Here is a 20,793-nt window from a genome sequence, read left to right as displayed (position 1 = left end):
AAAGAGAAATCATAAAACGCTGTATAGTGTGTGAAACAAATAAACATAAATGAAGGATGCTGAAGGCAGGTCTATGAAAGTGCATGTTTATTTTAATACGTGCTGAAAGATATTTCAAGCCTTGTCACCCTGATAACTCCAGTGGGCTGACTGAATGGTCCTGGTATATAGAAAGGAAAGGCTGGAAGGGAAGATAAGTTCAAGATCAGAAAAGCCACATGTGTGCCAAGAGAAAAGAAAGTGGAGGGATTGTGGAGAAGGATGAGAAAAAAATAAATAGAGGAGTGAAAAAAATAGACCCTTTGGAAGAATTGATAAATAAATTAGGAGTAGGAATAACACCAGCAATTGAGCTGGTTTCTGGTACTTTGTCAACATTTCGACAAAAATAGCGAACACTATGTCATCATGACTGCAACAATGCAGGAAGGGATGTTGACCTAGGACCTACTGGGACTGACAGGTTATTTGAACAGCATGTGATACACAGTATCAAAAAGCTGTTTATACAGTCATGCAAGTTCTTCAGGCAGGAAGTTTTTATAAGATTTCATTATTTAGCTTAAACACACACACACACACACACACACACACTTCCCAAATTAGAAGATATTTCCTGTTTTGAAATTCAACTTCATTAAGTATATTTCCTGAATTTTTCATCCTTGAAGCTCCAATAATATTTTTTATGTGACCATGTGATTCTTCATTCACAGAAAGAGGGAATGTGGAGACAAGCCTGAAACTGCTCTGTATGGCAGGGAGGGTGAGTCAGATAGAGGCACAGATGATCTGCCTTTTCCTCCTGCCAAACCAGCTGATGCTCCTGTGGGGCAGGAAGGCAGTGACAACATTGATAAACAAGCTGGTGAAGTTCAATCTGGAACTCTGCAGAGCGTAGCGGCCTGAAAATATATCTCACCCCACTTTAAATCTATCAAATATACATAAGGCCAAACCTAGGGGGCGGTGATCATTACTGGCATTAGAAGGAGAGTCTTCCCTTTCAAAAAAGATTTGCTGAAGGATTCCTTTAAATAGCGAGCCCACTGGAGCATTTAAAATACCTTTTCAAATGATTTACATGCACCTTTTAAATCATACACTCACAGTGAGCTAGTTGCTGAATCATGTGCACCTGTAAAACAGCTGTTGGGCTGAAGCTTAAGGACGGTCATTAAAAACAGCTTGGCTCACAGCCTGGGTCTTAGGCAGATCAGCGCCTCCACACAGCATTCAGAGGTGAGAGTGGAAAGAAGGAGTGCACACTGGAAGCTGAAAAGGAGAAAACTTGCCAAGCTGGCCCGTCCTCAGGACTTCTGAAGAGTCCAAGTTCAGCTCACAAAGGAAAACCGATCATGCCTTGAAAACCTTTTTCCTGCCATGCATTTGTACTCTTCATCTATCCAAAGTCATCTAACTAACCAGACAAGCTCTCCTTCCCATGGGTGTTTGCGGGTTGCAGAAGACAACACTGGCTGCTCTGAATCCCATCATTCAGCAAACAAAAGCACACCGTCTTTTCTTTCTTTCCATCTTTCTTTCTCTCCACTTTCTTTCTCTCTCTCTCTCTTTCTTTCTTTTCAGCGGAGTCTCTCTCTGTCGCCCAGGCTGGAGTGCAGTGGTGTGATCTTGGTTCACTGCAACCTCTGCCTTCTGGGTTCAAGTGATTCTCATGTCTCCAGCCTCCCGAGTAGCTGGGATTGCAAGCACCTGCAACCAGGCCTGGCTAATTTTTGTAGTTTTAGTAGAGATGGGATTTCACCTTGTTGGTCAGGCTGGCCTTGAACTCCCAACCTCAGGTGACCCACCCACCTCGGCCTCCCAAAGTGCTGGGATTTACAGGTGTGAGCCACCGTGCCAGCCTTTTTTTTATTTTTTATTTATTTATTTTTTAAACAGGCTCTGTTTTAGGTGGTTTAGCAATCTTCCAAATTGAGCTGACATATTTTCCAAAATCAGTATACCCTTCTGTTTATCACAGAGCAAGTATTATTGTTCTGGTCTTCCTATGTATGTAGAACAGGCCCAGTATGCCTGAAATAAAAATTCTGAGTACAAATATCAGCTTCATTGCATTTCATTGATAAGAGTCAACATATCCTTTAAGTCAGCAAATATTTCTCTTGACAACCATGAATTATGCTAAGATCACAAAGCTAAAGACCTTATTAGCGGTTTGCAGAGAGCTCAAGTGGAAAAAACCAACCCGGCTGTTTCTGGAAAAAAGGAAGTTTCTATCCTTCTATAAATCAATAAATGTTTGCTACTGAAGTTCTACTGTTTCCAACTGAGACATATCATCCTCATTTTTAAATTGATTTCGGTCAGTTTCTTAATGAAATAATCTCCTAAAATGGAATTTTAGAATTTGGGCCTAAGAAGAGTATAATGCCTGCTGTGTAAATGACATTAAGGGAATTTGGGCAACTTAAAATTTATCTGAAAACAGAAAAAAAGAAAAAATGTGGGCTGGAGCAATGAAATTCTAGGGAGGAAAAAAAAATGAATAAATGAGCATCTATGCTCTTCTGAGAGCACTAAAAGATGTTCAAATGACACATCCTCCAGGACGGAGGAGAAATTTTCCTTCTGGATTGTGCAAGCAGACCAAGGAAACTTAGCACCACAGTGCTTTCAGAATAACAGGCACTACCACAGTTCCACCTACAAAGTGATTTTCTGGAACTGAATATGGACAGTGTGAAATGAATGTGGGGAGCATTAACATAAAATTACAACAGAAACTATTCTCTTGTCCTTTACCTTGGGACATGCAACCAACAGGCAGTTTTTTTGTATCAGTGGTTATATTTCAGAGTGCCTGGATGGAAACGCAGCTTTGTTTTATTTTTTTCTTCCTGACTCATAGCTTTGTGCTAGTCATTGCTTAGACTCTGATCCTGTACAAGAGAGAAAAAATTGATCTCAATCCTGTGTGTGTTGGCACGTGTACAAATAGCTTCCAAGTCAGAAGGAAAGAGATCCAAGGGCACTTTAGAACATGATTTTTAAAAGATTTACTGTTAAAACATTTATTTGTCAGTCAGTTGTTAAAAGGTGTGGACAAATTTCCACAAAGAAATGGAGATTCTCTTGACAATCTATTTAACCTTTCACGTTGCTGAAACAGAACCTAATTACTCCACGTGCAGAAAGGAAATTTTGAAACCACTGGGGGCTTAGGCTGACTCTCCAAGATAGAAATCTGAGGGTTGGGTATGAATCAAGGGGTCTCTCTGGTCCCATTTGAGTTCCCCAGTAAAAAACTGCTACCCTCTAGAGAGTGGGTTCTTTTCGTTGTTGTTGTTATTTATTTTTTTTTTCTTTTAGTAGAGCAGGGTTTCACCACATTGGCCAGGCTGGTGTTGAACTCCTGACCTCATGCAATCCGCCCACCTCAGCCTCCCAAAGTGCTGGGATTAGAGGCGTGAGCCAACCACCATGCCCAGCCAAGAATGGGTTCTTTTTAGAATGATAAAAAGCCCTATCGTCTGGGCATGGTGGCTCACATCTGTAATCTCAGCACTTTGGGAGGCCGAAGTGGGCGAATCAGCTGAGGTCAGGAGTTCGAGACAAGCCTGGTCAACATGGTGAAACTCCATCTCTACTAAAAACACAAAAATTAGCTGGACATGGTGGCACACGCCTGTAATCCAAGCTATTTGGGAGGCTGAGGCAATAGAATCACTTGAACCCAGGAGGCCGAGGTTACAGTGAGCCAAGATTGGGCCACTGTACTCCAGCCTGAGCAACAGAGCAAGTCTCTGTTTCAAAAAAAAAAAAAAAAAAAAAAAGTCCTATCTTCCCTTCCATCACCGAAGACTCTCAATCTAGCACAGACAAGATCTCTACGATAAAATTAGTGAAACTCCAGTCTACTCTCCTTTCTCTCAAATGCAGCAAGGTCCTGAGAATTAAGCCCCGCCAAGGGGTGGCCTGGATCTCTGGCACACTTCATCACGGGATGGTCTCCCAAGTGCCCCCATATTATTAAAAGGATATAGGTCTCTTAATTTATTCTGCTTACTTACCCATTTTTCCAAATTTTGCAATAAACACAGATTATTTGCACTACAAAAAGGTATATTTGTAAAAGCCTTAATTAAATGAAGGCACTCAATTTACCCTAGTATCTAAAGCTAAAAACTCATAAAATGGTATATTGTGTCCATCATTAGTTTGTCCCAACTTTCTCCCCCAGACCTAAAGTCTTTCACAACCTACTACAAACTTAAGATTTGGTGGCATTGGAAAAGAAGTCACTATATCATAAAGACACTGGCACATGTATGTTTATTGCAGCACAATTCACAATTGCAAAGATATGGAATCAACCTAAGTGCCCATCAACCAATGAGTGGACAAAGAATATGTCATATATATACACTATGGAATACTATTCAGCCATAAAAAGGATAGAAATAATGTCTTTTGCAGCAAGTTGGATGGAACTGGAGGCCATTGTTCTAAATGAACTAACTTAGAAACTGAAAACCCAATATTGCATCTTCTCATAAATGGGAGCTAAGCTATGGGTGCACAAAAGCATACAGAGTGATATCATGGACCTGGAGACTCAGAATGGAGGAAGGTAGGGGAGGTGAGGGATGAAAAACTACCTATTGGGTACAATTTACACTACTCCACTTGACAGGTGCACTTTACCACTGTACGATTAATCTGTGAAACCAAAAACCACTTGTACCCCTAAAGCTATTGAAATAAAAAATGTATATAAAAGAAGTTAGTGACATTGAACTTCTCATTTTTCAAGGAGGATATTATACCCACCCATGATTCCTTGCTTTTTTTTTTTTTTTTTTTTTTTTTGCTTTTTTTCCTTGAGATGGAGTCTCACTCTGTCACCCAGGCTGGCGTGCAGTGGGCAATCTCGGCTCACTGCACCCTCCACCTCTCAGGTTCAAGCGATTCTCCTGCCTCAGCCTCCCGAGTAGCTGGGACTATAGCCATGCGCCACCACGCCCAGCTAATTTTTGTATTTTTTTAGTAGAGACGGGGTTTCACCATGTTGGCCAGGATGGTCTCCATCTCTTGACTTCTTGATCCGCCTGACTTGGCCTCCAAAAGTGCTGGGATTACAGGCATGAGCCACCGCGCCCAGCCAATTCCTTGCTTTTATAAATTTGTCTCTCTACCTGGATTTCCTTCATTCCTAATTCATAAGAAAAAATAATCTTATCCTTCAGAGTCCAAGTGAAATGTCAGCTTCCTCCGGGATCTCCTAGGTGTTGTCACTCCCTCTCCTGTGCTCCCAATGCCCGTGACTCATAACCTACCCTGTTTTACTGCAGTTCAGTGTCTTGTGTGTTACTTTCACAAGGTGGGGTTGATTTTTCTGCCCAATCTTTTTATTCCCAGAATTCTAACAGAGCACCTTGAATGTTTTAGCCACTCCAAACAAACTGAATGACTACTGAATAAATAAATGACTGAATGAATAAGTCAATTTTGTCAGCAACAACGACACCATAGTAAATCAGAGAGCAGATGGATAAGGTCAGCAAGAAGGGAGGCTGATGACTCTGGGGCTCAAACATTAGAAATGAAGATGAGGAAAGAGACAGAAAGACTTAGGACAACAATCATGATTCACATTGAGGAAAACTCCTAGGTTAGGAGCTACCTGTGAACTTCTAAAGTCTATCTTAATAAAAGATGCAATGATCAAAATGTCAAGGGCTCTCATTGGTCTTTACAGATACTCAAATAATTATCCCATCTCATTGCTACACCACATAGAGTGTCTTATTTCAGTAACTGAAACTACGTGCTTTCTCATTTCACAGTGAAGTCTTCTATACATTTCTCCAAGGCACCGTTGAAACTGGGGGAAGTGCATGCTTTTAACAAAACTGACACTGAGTCTACTCTCACAGCCAATGTCTCCCCACAATATGAGAACAATGGGAAAAAATGGAAAGGAATTCTGCATTTGGCCATTTTTTTTTCCACCTGAGATTCTTGAGAAAGTGATTCAATCAGCCCTTTCCGATAACTGGCTATTACATTTCTCAGGCAAGATGAACATAGTGCAGCAAGCCCGTGAATTTCCGCCTGCTGACGCCTCTATTAAGCAAATCAGCCCTTTCTCTTCTACTCCTTTAGGTGATTTTCTGACAATATAATACTGCAATACTGCAAACAATAAACACCTGCCACCCACCCTATGGCAGAACTGTAATTTCCATAAAACTAAGCTGCAACAGAGGCCCTGTCCATTCCAATGAGGATGTAATCTCACCTGGATCATTGGCCAAGCATGAATAAAAGTCATTATTTCTTGCCTTTATTTTATACCATGGGATGATAGAAAGTCACAGATTCATAACAGGCAGAGATTGCTGTGTGAGTAACTGGCAATTCTGCTTCTCTAAATTCATTTCTAGTTAAACCAGACCAGGTAGAACTGTATTTTGTGTCACCTCTTTTACTCTCCAAATTTTTTGTTTACTCCTATTTGTCCTATATTTAAAAAATAAAGAAAAATGTCAACTTCAGCTCCCCGAGGTTGCTGCCTAATGCCTCCATGTGGATACATTGAGCGTTCATATGTGGGAGCTCTCTAATGCCAGCGGATCAATATAATGAGCATAGAGTTTAGACGATCAACCCCGGTACAAAACAGCAACTGAGAAAAGCTCATCAGACTGCACGCATTCTCAGATTACTGTGTGGAAAACAGCAGGTAACCTCAACTCGGTGAATGCTATTCCTCACCTAAGTATTGTCCTACAGAGGCTGATAAAAGCCCGCCTTGGCATGGGCAGATTCTAAACAGAAAAGTCAACTCATCACTCTGTGACTTCAACTACTCTCTGTCACCCCATAGCAGTCCCTTACTCAAAGTCTGTGCAAAGCCCATGTTTGAGTCTACTCTCACAACCAATGTCTCCCCACAATATGAGAACAATAGGAAAAAATGGAAAGGAATTCTGCATTTGCCCATTTTATTTTCCATCTGAGATTCTTGAGAAAGTGATTCAATCAGCACAAAACTTAATGATTAAATACATAATCAGATAGTGGCCTTATTTTCAAAGATATGAATGCAAATGTTAATTGCTAAAAACATAAATTTTTAAAAAGCAGATCAAAAGCCTCTCCATGCTCTTCTGTCATTAACTATTCTGAAATGAGGGATTGCTCAACTCCCTCCTGACTATTCTCAGGTCTGTCATATGTCTTTCAAAACTGTCCACACAAGGCCCACTTACAGCAGAATTGCTTGGCTGCTACAGTGCATGCCAGGTGATAAATTCACTGGTGTGCAGAGGCCATGCAGGCTCTCCATGCCTTCTGCTGCCTCCTGGTTCCAGCTGAGCTGCAATAAGTTCGACGGACTTTCCTGCAGGACCTAGGTGACCTTCTCCGGCACTTTGATGTTAAATACAGTTCACTGGTGTCACGGCTGGAACTTAAGTGGGTTAACTGTGCTGTCTCAAGCAGGTTCACAAATTTATATTCTATACAGTCACAGTTTGCAGACCTTTAACTTCACCCCAATTTTGAATCCATTTACTGTCAACCTCCCAAAAAGCATGGCGAGGTAACCGATAAGAAATACAACTTCATTGAGATGTGGGACAGGCCATTATGATCTCTATAGATGGTAATAAAATGGGCACCAGGAAATTCCATTTTCCATCTGGGGAGTGAAGTACATTTTTCTAGCACTAACCTGTCACCTTTATTACAGGTGAACACACAGACACCAATATCTATTTTATAAATGTGGAAACTGCACCATCAAGAAGTTGAATGTCTTTACCAAAACCTGTTACTTACTAGAGACGAAGAAACATGGACACAAGGTATCTGTCATCTTTTCAGATCTCCTCCAAATGATTTACACAGACTGCCTAAGAGTTAAATACAGATCTGGGGATTTTATATCTATTTTTTAACTCTATCTGGAACCACACTACTCATGTTGTGGCTGGGAAAGATTGTTTTCCATTTAGGTTTCAATGTTTTCATCTGTGAATACATAAGGACATTTATTGGCCACTATTATATAACCTTGCCAAGGAATCAAGGCCTTCGCTCATCAGAAATGTCAATGTAATTGCTAGCCGTACATAAAATTCAAAGGAAATCGGTAAATTATATACATAACACACGGGGTATATATATAAAGGAGAGTGGGCTGTGAAGGTGCAAAGAAGGGTGGTAGAGGGGGTTGGGAATGGGAGGCTGCGAGAGACAACCTCTCTGCCAAGAAGCCTAGAGCCTGGTCCCAGGTTTTGGCACCAAATGTTAGGAAAACGTAAAGGAAGAGAGTGAGAGATGGGAGGCAACTCAATGGCCAAACAGGTTAATTCACAGGAATAAGCCCGTGAGGGGTCCCAGTCAGGAGTCTGACTGAGACCCTGATTGCTTACAAGCTGAGGCTTTTATAAGAAAGTTTTTTATTTGGGAGGAGAGGTTGGGTAAATGCTGGCCGGTTGGGACTTCCGGGAACTGTACAGACACAGAGTCTCATTCTGCTGCCCAAGCTGGAGTGAAGATCATGGCTCACTGCAACCTCCACCTCCCAGCTCAAGCAATCCTTCCCCTTCAGCCTCCCAAGGAGTGGGGACTACAGGCATGCACTCCAAATGAAGCTAATTTTTGTATTTTTTTGTAGCCACAGGGTCTCGCTATGATGCCCAAGCTGGTCTTGAACTCGTGGGCTCAAGCAATCCACCAGCCTTGGCCTCCCAAAGTGCTGGGATTACAGGCATGAGCCACTGACTGGCCAAATTATATACTGATAAATAGTAATGGAGGGAATCAGTTATAGATTATTAACTTTATTTTATACAAAATTTGGGCAGGATTTATATCCCTGTTTTTGCTAGAAAAACCAAATCAATCTTTTCACATGAAATCAAAGATAAGACTTGTTAGTTCCTTTTTCTCCCTCATTTTCTATTGACTGTCTTGAATTTTTTAAATTATCCTTAATTGCCTCAGTGTAGCAATTGGATAAAGCAATTTTTTCTGCCCATATCAAATGAAAAGTATTCAGTTTAATAAATATGTATAACAATGCCAAGCCCTCAGAATGACATTTTATTAGCATGAATAAAAATTATATAAATCCTTTGATTTTTACTCTTACATAACTCTTTGATAAACCCTGTGTTAATTCTAAATGTGCTTATGTTTCATCAAAATAATTTGGATTGTCATTGTTCTAACTAGGCAATACTTTATGTCTTTTGTTGTTGTTCTTTGTTTTTGTTTTGTTTTTCTTCAGGCGAGACTTTTCTAACAGTATATCTAAGAGAAATGATATTTTGGGGTGGATTGTCAATAAAGCAAATCTCAAAAATACATAAAACCTCATTCTTTTTCAATAAAACTAGCACTCAACAACACACCTTCTGCTTAATGCTGGCAATTTACAACTTCCTGGTCTAAAGAAATAAAGCCCTGAACAGCTTATAAAATGACTTAAGAGATTTTTTTTTTAAACATAAGCCAATCTTGGCCAAATAGCACTTGGATGAGTTAAGAATAAACAACATATAAAGAGATAGATAGATCAGATTTCCTTTGAAATCACAAAAGTCTCAAAATTAAGAATTTTAAAAAGCTTTGCATTTGAGAGGCTCAAAGGTTTTGGACAACAGTTCAGTTATTTTTTCAACCCTCAAAAATGCTTGGTACTATGTTATTAATAAGGAAATAGTTCAATGAGTCAGTGTCTGAGCTTTCATTGCCTTGAAGCCAGTCCAAAATGGGAATTTCTGGCACTGGAGACCAACTTTATAAGCTTTCAAAACATGTTTTAGTTTTTGAAACACTGAGCTGGATTTTGCCACTGAAATCACTAAGCTGAGTCTCATATATACTCTCCAAGGTGACAAGCGTTTATCCCTTCTTCTTGAGTTCCATACAACTAAGCCGTAAAGTAAATGTGGTAGCATCTATTCAAAACTGTACTGAGTGAAAACACACACAGTACTGGTCACAAATGAAGCCTCCAACAAACCCAACCCCAGGGACACTCCAAAAGGCTAAAGTCAAGTAAGTGGAATCATGACTCATAGAAGGAAGCCTCACCTCCAACACCATCTCCTTCCTCCTGATCCCAGAACCTGTGCTTTAAAAAAATAGCAAGTAAACAAAGCTTTCACTGATGTGTGTCTCACTGCCTCTCTACACCAACACACACACATAACCCTACCCTCCAGGGACAGCCCCATAAAGTACAAGTTACGATAAGCTTTTAACCACACTGGAACACTATCTCTCAATTCACAATGGGTAGGCAGAGGCATATGTCTAGCTCCAGAGCCTCTGCCAGCCTGTAGAGCATTTCTGTGGACATCAGAATTGGGTGTCCTCTGGGTAAAACATTTAGACACAGTTGTCCTGGCTGAGAACGGTGGCTCACGCCTGTAATCCCAGCACTTTGGGAGGCTGCGGCAGGCAGATCACTTGAGGTCAGGAGTTCGAGACCAGCCTTGCCAACAAGGTGAAACCTCGTCTCTACTAAAAATACAAAAATTAGTCGGGCATGGTGGTGCATGACTGTTAGTCCCACCTACTCGGGAGGCTGAGTCAGGAGAATCACTTGAACTCGGGAGACGGAGGTTACAATGAGCCAAGATCATGCCACTGCATTCCAGACTGAGACAGAGTGAGACGCTGTCTCAAAAAAATAAAAAAATTAAAAAAAATTGAACAATTAAAAAAAAGATAGACACAGTTGTCCCAACTGGCCCTAATACACTGGGCTTGGCACATGGAATGCAGGCTCTATTTCAGCCCCTTGCCTCACTAGGCCAGGGCCTATGTGCAGAGCACAGACCACACAACACAATTGTCCTGTAGCCCTGTGTAGCCTCACTGGCTCCATGAAAGCTAAAGCTGCAACCTTAAGGAAGAGGGAAATTGTAATCATAACAGAGTTTTCGATGGGGAAAAATGCAGCTAAGAGTAAAATTAACTTAGCATGCTTTGTTTTTGTCTGGTTACGTAATGATGCATGGTCTAAGTCAGTTAATCATCTGAGAGTCTGTGCTCTGTGAAAGCAAGAATCAAGTCTTCTTAGAATACTTGCCAAATCCCTAAGTGAATGTCATAGCTTTCCAGAAGAAGGGAGGTTCTCATTATTAGTTACGAGGAAGACGGCCAACAGGGATGAAACTGTCCCTCTGAAACATCTACAAAATCATATATCCTCTATGCTTTTGATTAATTGTCTCTTATTGATGTCCTGTGAACATACTTTCTCAAATTTAACACATAAAAATCAAGATGATTTTGTAGGTCACATTCTAAGTGATACTTTTAAAATTATGAAACCAAAGTCCTGCTTTTAAAATTCATATGCCCAGTGTTTTGGGAGGCCAAAGTGGGAGGATCACTTGATGTCAGAAGTTTGAGGCCACCCTGGGCGACAAAAAAAAAAAAAAAAGAAGAAGAAAAGAAAAAGAAAGCCAGACATGGTGGTGCACACCTATAGTCCTAGCTGCTTGGGAGGCTGAGGTGGGAAGACTGTTTGAGCCCAGGAGTTCAAGGCTTCAGTGAGCTATGATCATGCCACTGAACTCCAGCCTGGGAAACAGAGCTAGACCCTCTCTCTATAAAAAATAAAATAAAATAAAGTAATAAAAATAATAAAAATCATACAAACTGAAGTTAATTTAAATGTTCACTTAAACAGAATAAAGGCTGGGCATGGTAGCTCATGCCTATAATCTCAGCACTTAGGGAGGATTAGGCCAGCAGGTTGCTTGAGGCCAGGAGTTCAAAAACAGCCTGGGCAACAAGGCGAAACCCTGTCTCTACAAAAAATACAAAAATTATCTAGGTGTGATGGTGCATGCCTGTGGTCTCAGCTACTTTGGAGGCTGAGGTGGGAGGATTGTTTGAGTGGAGGTAGCTCTGAGCAGATGGGGGCAGCCAAAAGGGGGAATGGAGTGGGAGGGTTTTCCCCTGGAGTAGGGCCACTCAGTGGCCTGGCCTCTCCTCTGACTGCCCCAGCCAAACTCCCCCTCCTTCCACCAGTTCATGGCCTGGTGGCATGCCACATATGCCTGTGCATTCCTCTTGACATCCAGCCACCATCCATCCTCAGTGGAGGAACACATGCTCCTCTGGATGTCCAGCCATCTTTGTGTCTGCCTGCTATGGTCTCTGGGGTTTTTATAGGCACAGGATGGGGGTGTGGCAGGCCAGGTTGGTCTTGGGAAATGCAACATTTAGGGAGGAAATGCCTGTCCTCACCTAGGTCTGTGGGGGTGGAGCCCTAGCCAGGGACCACACCCTCCTCTGCTCAGCAGTTCCTTTCCCCCTACCCCACCACCCGTTATGTATCATTTAAAGGGACCATGCTCTTCCCTTCCCAGCACTGCCGTATCACACGCAACCATGACAGCCACAGGAGCTTGGCCTCACGGTTGGGAATTAGCAGGGGCAGAGGCAACAAGATATATTGCCCCATCTAAAAGTGGTAAAGTGATAGCAAATACCACCTCCAGCCACTGACTGCTGTGTGAGAATGTTGTTGTTATAAAATTACTTGAGTGTGTGTTTGGGGGTGGGTAAAGTTGTCATTTGTTTTCTTTTCTACTCCATTCCTCCTAAATCAACAACTCTGCAGTATCATAAATGTCTGACTTTTCAAACAGCCTTTCACACACTAGAAGGTAGTTCACACCTAGTGTTCGCCTAGCATTTTCTTCTGCAGACTAAACATAGTAACTTTTACAATCACCTTGTTGTGTTGTGTCTAGAATGGAATCGTCTAGATAGAGTTTGAACACACCATGACCAAAGGGCAAGATTTAATAATAAAAGGCACAAGAGAAAGGCAAAATAAACCAAAGGTCTGATGGGCCAAGAATTACCACTATCAGCTGCAGGTATATATCAAAAAGAAAATGTATTATATAATACCAAACATGTCCATAAGAAATAACTGTGAGGACAATACATATTGCTGTCTTTCTCTGAATTCATTTTGCTTCTTGTTTTTTAACTGGGTAGACTATCAGCTCAATTTGTTAATTTCTTTCCTTAAAACAATTAACTATTAATTATAGTCACTGTTATTAGCCATCTCCAATTCTTCCAAGCTGCAGATATTTTTACAGCAGGCTCCCAACAAGCTTGGCAGTTTAGAATATTCTCTGGCAGCAAGCTGCATTCCTGTTAGCAAGTGCCTACATGCAAGATAATGTCCTTTTTTAATAAGGTTTTTGTGCAAACCAAAATAAGAACAACACTGTAAAAGCACACCTAATATCGATTAAAACCAAAGTGTTTATAAGATGGATTTTTATTTTCACCCTTTTGGATAAGAATATGACATACTGTATTAATTGAAAAGCAGTTTTCAAAGAGCACACTATTAGGAATAATCAGACGCTATTTACAGAGTTAGACCCTGTATTTACATTTCTCCCTAGTTTATAGCCACAGTGCAATACAGGAAATACCCTATATTTACAATTGTACAAAATCCAAGTTTACATAATCAACACTGCGCTTCTCACAATCTGCCCTGACCCATCCCATGTGTCATTAACTATCCAGATTGTTTCCTGGGAGACAGACCTCACAGGATCCTCAGATGCAGGAATGCAGATTTATACTTAATACAGTCATGCTTATATGCCCTGCAACTCAACTTGCACTCCATACATGATGAAATAACTTCTTAACGATTGAGAAATGCTTAGCAATCTATTACTTGATACCGAAAGGGAAGCCATTCTCATCCATGTCCTTTTAAGAAAGTTTATTTGTTGTTTGAGGTAAGAAAATCTTCCATAATCAAGCTACTTATGTTCGTCAAGAGTCTCGATATTAAAGTATGGGAAAGTACTGCCTGTGTTAATATTTTACTTTTCTTTAATATGTTCTCTCACACAATTTCTAAGCCTCCCAAATCCAAAGTTAGAGGCCAGACCAAGCTTCTATTTTTGTTGTTTTAAAATACATCATAGTTGAACACTTTATTTCATTACAAAATAGTTGCATCGATTTGCTCAACTTGTGTTTAATGTACTTGATGTCAGAAAAGATCGGTCAGCTCATGATCCTCCATGCCCCTATGTGCTTTTCAATGTTTCCAAGGCCTTCCTTTCACAGCTTCCCTTAATGTAGAGAATGGACTGACTTTGAACTCTACCTGCCCTGTTCTTCTCGTCACTTAGGCTTATAGGAAGCTCCACCTGCTTTGCAAAGCATTTTCTCAACTACTGCAACCCAGGTTAATTACATTCTTTTGAAAAGAATGGGTGGAATTTCCTGACTCTTTCATGAACCAGCTACACATCTTAAACCACAGATCTCTTGGTCTCTCTCAAACAGTGGAGGACTAGATGAAATTGGCATGCCTGGGGTAACTCATCTAAACTAGGATATCTGACCTGCTCAGCTCTTCTGGCAAGAAGATAGTATCTATAGGGCTACCATACACAAATTATCCAATGGCTGAAATGGAGTGTGGGAACTTAGATCTCAGTCCAAAACTGCTGAATGCAGTGATGGGACACCAGCATAGAAAGGGTAAAAATATTCCAGTAGTTCATTCAAACCCGAGGAGAAATACAGTGGGTTCTTTTGGCATAACTCACCAGGAGAGTGTGTGCTGTGAACTTTGCAAATAGGTTCACTGCCTTAACATGAGGAAAAACTGATCATGATTGTGTGTTTTCTTTGTTGTCCAGTCCCCCAGTTTATGAGTTATTCACAGGCAGCTGAAGCAGAATATAGGCATTTAATTTATTTTATCGTAATGCATTCAGATGAGTAGGTTTTAAATACCCACTAAAAAGTTTACTCAGCTATTGACACATATCATGGACTTTTGGAGAATTAAAGGTCTCTAAGAGACCCATATTGTCTGAATCCCTTTCTTACTAATGTGAGAAAATACAAACAGCCTAAACTTAAAAGGACAGTTATTGAAATTCAGACTGAACATATGTGCTTAAAATCCAGAAACTGCATTCCCTTTCATTGCTGAAAAGGATTGAGGCTGAACTGAATCAGATATTTTCAAGAATTTCAAAACCATTTATGAGAATTTATGTCCACAATTCAAAGGAAAGTCATAGAATTTGAAGAGTATGAAGCATGCTTTAAGTTTTTGTGATACTTTTGATGCTCAATTTCAGGATGGATTTGAAGTATCATGGAAAATATATTTTTGTTTATAAGGTAGCCTGGCTGAGCTTAAAGCGAACTGTAGCCCACCAAGAACATAAAATATCCTTAATGTTGTTATAGCAGTACCAAAAAATTGAACACAGTTCTATCCTGCCTCTGTGCCCAGCCTTGGAGCAATGCTCAAGTCACCATGAAAATGTTCTTTCTCACACCGCACTGCCAGACTCAATGCTTATGACACTCTTAGCAACATAAAGCAAGAGTCAGACTCAAGAAAAGCCCTGACTAAATAAACTTCACAATTTTCTAGAAGAGTTGAGATATTGTCAATAGTGACTTTCCAACTTAGATGATGAAAATCAGTCAAAAGCCACACCTACCAGTGAGCCTTTTATAAAGAATGGTCTTCAAACTCTTTTCATAATACTTTCATTATTTTTAATCATCCCTCTTTTTGAATGACTAAAAAGTTATATTTAACCACTGTTGCTACAAAAATCTCTGCTCTGCATACACATGGAATTTTGCTCTAGAGACTCAATGTTGGGAAATCATGAGTATACCTGGATGACATGATTATTTAAATTACAGAAAATTATAACTATGACGATTACTCCAGTTTTCAAGCACTGAATAGGTGCCAGGTATTGTACATATTTATTTCTAATCCACAGATCTATGGGGAAAAGTTTGAGTTCACTGCAGCTCTACCACTGTGTAGCTCAGTGAGATTTGTCTCTGGACTTGAGTTGCTTGGTATGTTAAATGGTGATAATAATAATAATAAATAATCATTTCCTAAAGTGTGACAATTGTTTTATATAGTACATAGCTTAGCATAGTGCCTATAAATAATTGTTGGCTACCATTACCATTGTAATTTTTATTTGAGTATTTTTGAGACTTTGATTGCTTATGTATCCATATGTATTTTGAAAAAAGAAAAAAAGTCCCCTTCCAGGTTGGGCACGATGGCTCACACCTGTAATTCCAGCACTTTTGGAGGCTAAGGTGGGCGGATCACCTGAGGTCAGGAGTTCAAGACCAGTTTGGCCAACGTGGCGAAACCCCATCTCTACTAAAAAAAATACAAAAATGAGCCAGGCGTGGTGAGGTGCCCCTGTAATCCCAGCTACTCAGGAGGCTGAGGCAGGAGAATTGCTTGAATCTGGAGGCAGAAGTTGCAGTGAGCCATGATCCTGTCATGAGCCATGATCCTGTCACTGTACTCCAGCCTAGGTGACAGAGTGAGACTCCATTAAAAAAAAAAAACAAAACAAAACACAACTCCCTCCACATAATTTCCCCGTAAATATTTTATCTACGTTGATGCGGCTCACATTCTTACCCACAGAGCATTTCCAAGTCAGATGTACTTTGTACTTTCTAGGATGCAAGAGAGGTACACATGAAAGCACCACCTGGCTGTTAGGCTTGAGCTGAGATAGAGGGAAGGGAAAAATAAGCTCTCTATTCCTAAACAAGCTCTCAGCAAGTTGCAGAGGCTACAGCAGCTGTTTTTTTTCTTCTTCTTCTTCTTCTTCTTTTTTTTTGGTTTAACATGAATAAATTTTTAAAAGTATAGGGAGGACTTCCAGTTCCAGAAGGATGGGGCAAGCATATTTTGCCTTAGTCCACCCTCTTATCATACCTAAAACCTTGGATAAATCAAATGAACCAAGCAGCAGAAGATTCCAAAAGGTAGAGACGGAGAAGACAGAGTTTCTAGGGACCTCAAGATGGAAGAAACGACTTAGTGACCTGATTAAAAGAACTGTTAAAGGAAGTTCTTCAGAGAGAGAAAATTACAACAAAAGGAACTTGGAACATCAGTGCAAAGGAAGAACAATAGAGCAGGAAAATCTATGGGTAAAATACACTACTCATTTTCTCATGATTTTTTAAAATTAAATCTGATAATTGAAAGCAAAATTATATATTGTAATGTAGTTCTCAATGTATGTAAAGAAGACATTTAGGACAATGTGAGATGGCTAAAACATCTTAAATGACAGTAAGAGTCATACATTTCATTTGAAGTGCCAAAATATTGATATTAGTAGACTTTGATAAGTTTCAGATGTATTGCATCATCTCTAGAGTAACCACTAAAAATATACAAAAAGATATTCTCAGAAACACTATAGGTAGAGCAAAATGGAACACTAAAAATGTTCAAATCACTCACAGGAAAGCAGAAAGGGGAAGCAGATAAACAACAATAAAGGAAAACAAACAGAAAACAAATATTAAAATGGCAGAGTTGAGCCTTAACAAATTACCAATAATTTTATTAAGTGTAAATGTTCTAAATATACCAGTTAAAGGACAGAGATTGGTAGAGTAAATTTAAAAAAAATGACTCATCAATACAGTGTCTATGAGAAACTAACTTTAATTTTATTGATAGAGGTAGTATGAAAGTAAAGATGTGTCATACAAACACCAATCAAAAGAAATCTAGAGAGGCTACATTAGTAGCTAGAGTGGCTACATTAATACCACATAAAGTAGACTTCAGACCAATGAAAATTACCAGAGACAGAAAGGGATTGTCTTGATAAAACTGTCAATCCATCAAGAAGACATACAATTTTAATTCATGGTTTCAGGTCATAAAGGTGTGGGACTAGACTTTGACTATTGTACTTGTGTGACCCTGGGCTTCAGTTTTCTAAAAGTTTCTCTCAGATTCTGTCTTCCCATCCTAAAATAATGGGACTGATGGAGTCTATGCTATAGAATTGTTCAAAGGTATAAATTAGGTCATTACATGAAAGTACCAAGATCTTGTTTTATGTTCGCTTTTCTCTTTACTATGCTATAAATGCTTTGGCCTGAAAAAGAACCTAAGAAATCCTTGAAGTAACTTTAACGTTTCAACTCTTTACTTATCATTTATTTCTCGTGAATGGTCATGAGCATTATGGAAGATTGCAATTTGGTGAATTAATTAAGATATTAGAAATGCAGATTCTAAGTAACTTTAAAACCCACTCTGTAATGCAAGTAAATCAATGGAATATCTACTGAGACAGAATATAGTGATTGCATATGGTAATGAAGTGGAATCCCAATGATTACATACTTTACCTAGCTCTTCTTTTCAGAATTAAAATTGAAAGGAAAAGTAAGGAATGACAGAGATTAATAAGACCATGCAATTATAATTTAATATTCTACATAAAAGAAGAAATGAAAAAAAGAAAAATGATTCTCAAAGTAATTTCACTTGATGTATTCCTTCTTTCCTTCCTTCCTTCCTTCCTTCTTTCCTTCCTCCCTACCTCCCTACCTCCCTCCCTTCTTCCCTCCCTTCTTTCCTCCTTCCCTTCTCTCCCTCCCTCCTGCTCTCCCTCTGCCTGCTTCCTTCCTTCCCTTCTTTATTGTCATTTTCAGTAGAAAATGGAGGATCTTATCTTTTCCTTTCAAGCATAATACTTACCATTGTATGTGCTTGTGTCTGTGTGTTTGTCTGTGTGTGTGTCTGTGTTTTAACTACTCTGATGATTCGGGTAGAACTAAAATAAAAAGCTGTAGTTGAAATTAACTTTTCTATTTCCACAGTAAATGGTCTAGGTCAAAATGTAATATTACAAAAGATACAATAAACACTTTCTAAGAAAAAGAAACAGAAAATAATAATGAAAGTAATTCCCCACTCCCAGCATACTCTTTTATCACCTGCTATTGATAGCTGATGACACAGCCTCCTAAAGCTGGCAGGCACTATTATTTTCATCCATCATAATTGATCAAAACACTACAGTGAAGCGAGAGATTTACACATTCACCCTACATTTCGACTTAATTTTAAGAAACGACTTAAGTTACCAAATGAGTTACTAAACGAATAATTGTAAATAAAAGAGTTGAAATTTGAAACATCTAAGTTTGAAATCAGCAATGCACTAATAGGAATAAAACTGAGGGTATTAGTCCGGTATTACACTGCTATAAAAAATACCTAATACTGGGTAATTTATAAAGAAAAGAGGTTTAATTGGGTCATGGTTCCACAGGCTGTACAGGAAGCATAGCTGGGGAGGTCTCAGGAAACTTACAATCACGGTGGAAGGAAAGGGAGAGCAGGAGGAAAAGAGAGAAAGGGGAGGTGCTACACACCTTTAAACACCCGGATCTCTTGACACCTCTATCACAAGAACAGCAGCAAAGGGAGAAATCCACCCCCACGATCCAATCACCTCCCACCAGGCCCCACTTCCAACACTGAGGATTACAAATCGACTTGAGATTTGGGCAGGAACACAAATCCAAACCATGTCACTGATGTTCCTAGATTTCTTCTGGGGATTCAATTCATTGTGTATAGCTGCATTCAAAAACATTCAGATACTTTGACAACTTGTGAGATCTAGGACACTAGAACCTACTAAAGTCATGCTCTCGAGTCAAAGCTTAAGAAAACAGTCTTTCAGCTGTATTTTTCATAATTAAACTGCCTTAGGAAAGAGGTGCAGATTAACACAGCTCCAGTAGCTCCTGGTTTTCTGCACTATACAGTTAGGATAGCCAGTAATTTAAAAAATATAATGAGATCTTTGGATGATAATCAGAAGAAAAATCCACTGTCTAGCTAGAGAAAGAGCTAGTGAGGTCATAAATTTATTTTATCATATTTAATTGTTGTCATTTATCAATTTTTATGTTCATAGGCTTTATATAGTACTAACTTCTAAAAGGATTTGTGGCAGTTTTCAAAGTTATTCCTAATGTTAATTATTACCGTTTTTAAAGTAAGTAAAATAAGGATCTTTAAGGAAGAGTAAAGAAAATAGATGGCACCAATATCTCGTATCAACAGATGTTACCAATATCATTACTCCTGTTGTCCAGGACCGATAAATTTGATTCTGAAAAAAGTGATATCAAAGTCATATGTATCATAAGGTAATTAAGGCAGGATTTGCTAGCCTACATAAGAGATGTTTGATAACTAGCTTGTATATTCACCTCCCAAAGTCCCATTCTCTTCATGTTATAGCTAAGTTCTAGCTCATTTTGTTAAACAGTTTACCAGAATGTTCAAATGGGAAAGCTCAGATTGATTCCTCTTCATTTGATGAATTTTATTTCAAGATAAGCTTATAAAAGTCTGCATTCATAGACAAAGAATAAAACAAGTTTTTGTATTTCTTTTTAAAATATCAACTGGCTTATAGAAAAACAGGCAAAAAAAACCCACTAAGATAAAGCATTCAGCAGCTCAGCTCTAATAGCTCTGTACACTCAGACTAAATTCCCTTTAGAATACCAAAGAAGCAAAATGCTTCAGGGCTGTTCGTCCAAAGTCTTGAGATGCTGTGATTGAAAGTAACATGTGGAATCAGTTTGAGAAAAATAAACTAAGTCGAAAGAAAATGGCACAAGTAATAAGCCAAGATAGAGTGGAGCCTATATAGAGAAAAGAAATAGCTTCAGGGAAATATTTTGAGACACAGCAGACAGACATTTCAGAGAAAGAGAAACAATTTGCTTACATAGAACATACACTCTTAAATATGTATCGATCTATTCACTATCCATATTTGCACAGAATTAAATACTGATCTGTAACACAGAAAAATTGTAATATATTTTCATTGATAAAATAATTTTCTTTTTTAATGAACTAAAAATAGAAAAGACTGTATG

At 39.2% G+C, this 20,793-nt stretch overlaps 1 protein-coding gene across 3 annotated transcripts in view, besides 1 other annotated feature; it reads right to left on the bottom strand.

Annotated features, from left to right (window-relative positions):
• PLXDC2 (plexin domain containing 2) overlaps positions 1–20,793 on the bottom strand; it is a 473,425-nt gene that overhangs the window by 357,310 nt on the left and 95,322 nt on the right. The window lies entirely within an intron of this gene.
• Positions 12,056–12,557: an enhancer, noted in NCBI's record as "H3K27ac hESC enhancer chr10:20208919-20209420 (GRCh37/hg19 assembly coordinates)". NCBI's record gives its function as "activates a minimal SCP1, AML or CMV promoter by ChIP-STARR-seq in primed H9 embryonic stem cells {active_cell/tissue: H9 hESC(primed)}" and the evidence as "EXISTENCE:reporter gene assay evidence [ECO:0000049][PMID:30033119]".

Source organism: Homo sapiens, chromosome 10 (assembly GCF_000001405.40).
Source record: "Homo sapiens chromosome 10, GRCh38.p14 Primary Assembly".
Classification (NCBI taxonomy): Eukaryota; Metazoa; Chordata; class Mammalia; order Primates; family Hominidae; genus Homo; species Homo sapiens.
Note: the sequence above shows the minus strand (reverse complement) of the source record. Positions and strands in the feature narration are given on the sequence as shown.